The sequence below is a fragment of the Homo sapiens genome, chromosome 18 (assembly GCF_000001405.40).
Source record: "Homo sapiens chromosome 18, GRCh38.p14 Primary Assembly".
Lineage (NCBI taxonomy): Eukaryota > Metazoa > Chordata > Mammalia > Primates > Hominidae > Homo > Homo sapiens.
Window position 1 is genome coordinate 14,441,547 of NC_000018.10, and position 3,760 is coordinate 14,445,306.

A 3,760-nucleotide genomic window follows, 5' to 3' on the forward strand; every position below is an offset into this window, starting at 1 on the left:
ATAATAAATTAAATTATTACTGTAATACACGTTTCTTTAGTTACGATTAGATATATTACACATATAACTAACAATTTTGCAGAAATTTCTCATCTACCAGTATTTATTTATTTTTTTCATAAGTTTCCAAGGAACCCTAATGATGCGGACTGTCACTTTTAAAATTAAATTTTGTAAATAACTCCCAGAGCCATACTGATAAGAAACAAAACAAAACAAAAAGAACTAGAAATGTGAACAAACATTGGATTTCTGCTGGAAAAAAGGTTGCAAAGCAGGCCTGCCTGCTGCACTTCCCCAGAGCTAATCCTTGAGCCGAAAGAGCTTCCTGGTGAAGCCTCGCACTCTCTGTAACAGGGCGTGGGGGGACCGAGACATGCGGGCTCCAGATTAGACCATCTTTACCTAGTTATGGGATTTCAGTCATGTCTTTTAAATTCTTTGAGCTGCAGTTTTCACATACGTAAAGTGAAAGTATTTTTAAAATTTTAATTTGTGTTATGGCCTTGTATAAAGATAGAATAGTACATTTGAAAGCATTTTAGCTGAAGTCAAACATTCACGTGTGTGCATGCAATGGCTTCTTAATTATTTTAGGGCTTAACCTGGTTTTACTAGTACTGTTACTAGCACTGCTACTTCTCCATGTCTCTGAAGACTATGAAATACTTAGAATTGAAGCAACAAGAAGCACCTGTCAAAGGGTTCTATGGCCGATGACAGCTTTGACACAACTGGATATAATAATATGTTAGATGGTACCCAGAGATGCTGTTCAAAGTCGAAAGTGTCCCTAGAATTCTGAACCTGCTGAAGCAGCCTTCAGAACTGAAGTTGAGAGAAGTACATTTTCAGTTAAAGAAAGTCTGTGAGACTGTGTTACCAGCACACCCAAACCACGATAAATGCAAAAGAAACTTGTTCAGGATGAAGAAAAATAATAATTGGAAATTCTAGTTCACAGAAAAGATGAAAGTGTGCCAAAAATAGTAAATATGTGGAGGGGAAATTACTGTTTTAATGACATCCTCCAGGAATTACAACATGTACAGAAGAAAAATCTATGACAACATGGCACAAAAGATGAGAGGATGGTAAGGTAAGGATTTTATATTTTATATACAGTGTTATGATATTTAATATACATTAAGTATTTATAATTTCTGAACAACTCACCAAAAATAAATAAATGAAACAAAGTCATAGTTAAAAACAAATAACAGGGTACAAAATCCATACTAAAAAAAAAAAGAAAACCCCATAAAACAAACAAACAAACCAAAACTGCAATAATCCAGAAGAAGATCAGGAAGGCGGAACAGAGACTGTCAAAGTAGGTAAAAAGGAAACCTCAATATCCACTTTTAAAAAGAAATACACTTATGAGATAAAGATATAAATAGATTCGAACTGAAAAGATGGACAAATATACACTATGCAATCTTTGTTATCAAAAACTGCAGCCAGTGTATTAATGGCAGATAAGACACACTACAAGAAAGGCAAGCATCACCAGGGATAAAGAAGGATGTTTTATACCAATAAGCCCATTTGCTTAGAAAACCTAATAAGCATAAGCATGCATGCACCTAAGAAAAACAGCAAAATACATGAAGCAAAAGTTATTGAATTAAAAGGATAAATGCATAAATCCACAATTTGACAATTCTAATTATTATAACTCAGAAATCAATAGAAAAAATAACTACAACAATAAGACTACAGGTATTAATAGGAGAGATTATAACCAGAGCACCAGGAGAAAAACAGCCATATCCAATATGCTTACAACTATTGGTTGACAACTCAAAAGTTCCCAAAAGAATTTTTGACACTAAATAAAGGTAAATAGCCTGGAAAGCCTGCAAGCCAGCATAGGAAGGAAGTGGAAAATGAAATGTTGATTGAAAATAAATCTGGAAGTCCGGGCACGGTGGCTCATGCCTGTAATCCCAGCACTTTGGGAGGCCAAGGTGGGTGGATCACCTGAGGTCGGGAGTTCGAGACCAGCCTGACCAACATGGAGAAACACTGTCTGTACTAAAAATACAAAATTAGCCGGGTATGGTGGCCCATTCCTGTAATCCCAGTTACTCGGAGGCTGTGGCAGAAGAATCGCTTGAACCCGAGAGGCGGAGGTTGTGGTGAGCCGAGATCTCCCCATTGCACTCCAGCCTGGGCAATAAGAGCAAAACTCTGTCCCCCCCAAAAAAAGGAGAAAAGAAAAGAAATCTGAAAAAAGGAAAAGAGAATTGAGGATAAAGCTTTGCAAATACAAAATCCAAAATCAAATGATAGAAATAAGTTCAAATATATCACTTTTTCCTACCAAACATAGAGGGATTAACCTCATATATTGAAATACAAAATTATCAATAACAAAGCAGCACTTTCAAATTAAAGAAATAAAAAAATAAAAATTTTATAAAAATTTTAAGTAAATATTCACAGAAAGCAACCTGCTATCACAAAATTAATTTTAGTTCAAATAAAATTTAAGGAAGAAATAATAAACAACAGGATAGACACTGCACATGGATGGACAATAGAACCGAGTAGGTGAAGCAATGTAAGTCCAATGCTGGCCTCGCCTCCAGGACATACAAAGAAACTAACAGGATAGAGCAGGTCTAGAGAGGGACGCTGGAACTCATACTTCTGAATTTAAACGGGAAATAGACAAAGATGTTATGTGTTTATAAAAGGTTTTAAAATCACAACAAATGCTGAATATACATCACTTTCTAGTATATGTAATACTTACCAAATGGGACGCATATTAGGTTGCAAAAGAAATTACAAAAAACTGGAGCTAGGGACCAAAGGACTAACATAACTCAAAACAAAAAACATGCCCCATATAGTTTAGGAAAAAAACGGCACAGTGATTTAATGGTAAATCACTATAAACATGAAGGGATTCACCCAGAGTTCAAGACGACAACATGTGTCAGCCTGACTTTCCGAATGACTGCACAGGAAAGGCTGCCATCCAAGGAAGCACAGAAAAGGACACCCCTTAGGTCCTGGATGGAGGAGGATGACCCCCAATACTGGATGGAGAAGGATGCCCCCCAGTCCTAGATGGAGAAGGATGCCCCCCAGTCCCAGATGGAGAAGGATGCCCCCCTCAGTCCTGGATGGAGATGGATGCCCCCTAGTTACTGGATGATAAAGGATGTTCCCCAAGTCCTGGATGGAGAAGGATGACCCCAATTCCGGGATGAAGAAGGATGCCCCCCAATTCTGGGATGGAGAAGGATGCCCCCCAGTCCTGGATGGAGAAGGATGCCCCCTAGTCCTTGATGGAGAAGGATACCCCCTAGTTACTGGATGGAAAATGATGTCCCCCGAGTCCTGGATGGAGAAAGACGGTCCTCCAAGTCCTGGATGGACTCCAAGTCCTGGATGGAAAAGGATGCCCCCCAATTCCTGAGTGGAGAAGGATGCCCCCCTCAGTCCTGGATGGAGAAGGATGCCCCCTAGTTACTGGATGGAAAAAGATGTCCCCCAACTCCTGGATGGAGAGGGATGCTCCCCAGTTCCTGAATGTAGAAGGATGCCCCTAGTTCTACATGGAGAAGGACAACCCCCGGTCCTGAATGAAGAAGGATAACCCCCTAGTCCTGGATGAAGAAGGATGCCCCCCAAGTCCTAAATGGAGAAGGATGCCCCCAAAGTCCTAAATGGGGAAGGATGCCCCCCAAGTCCAGTTGAAGAAGAATTTCCCCCATTCCTGAATGGAATACGATCCCCTTCA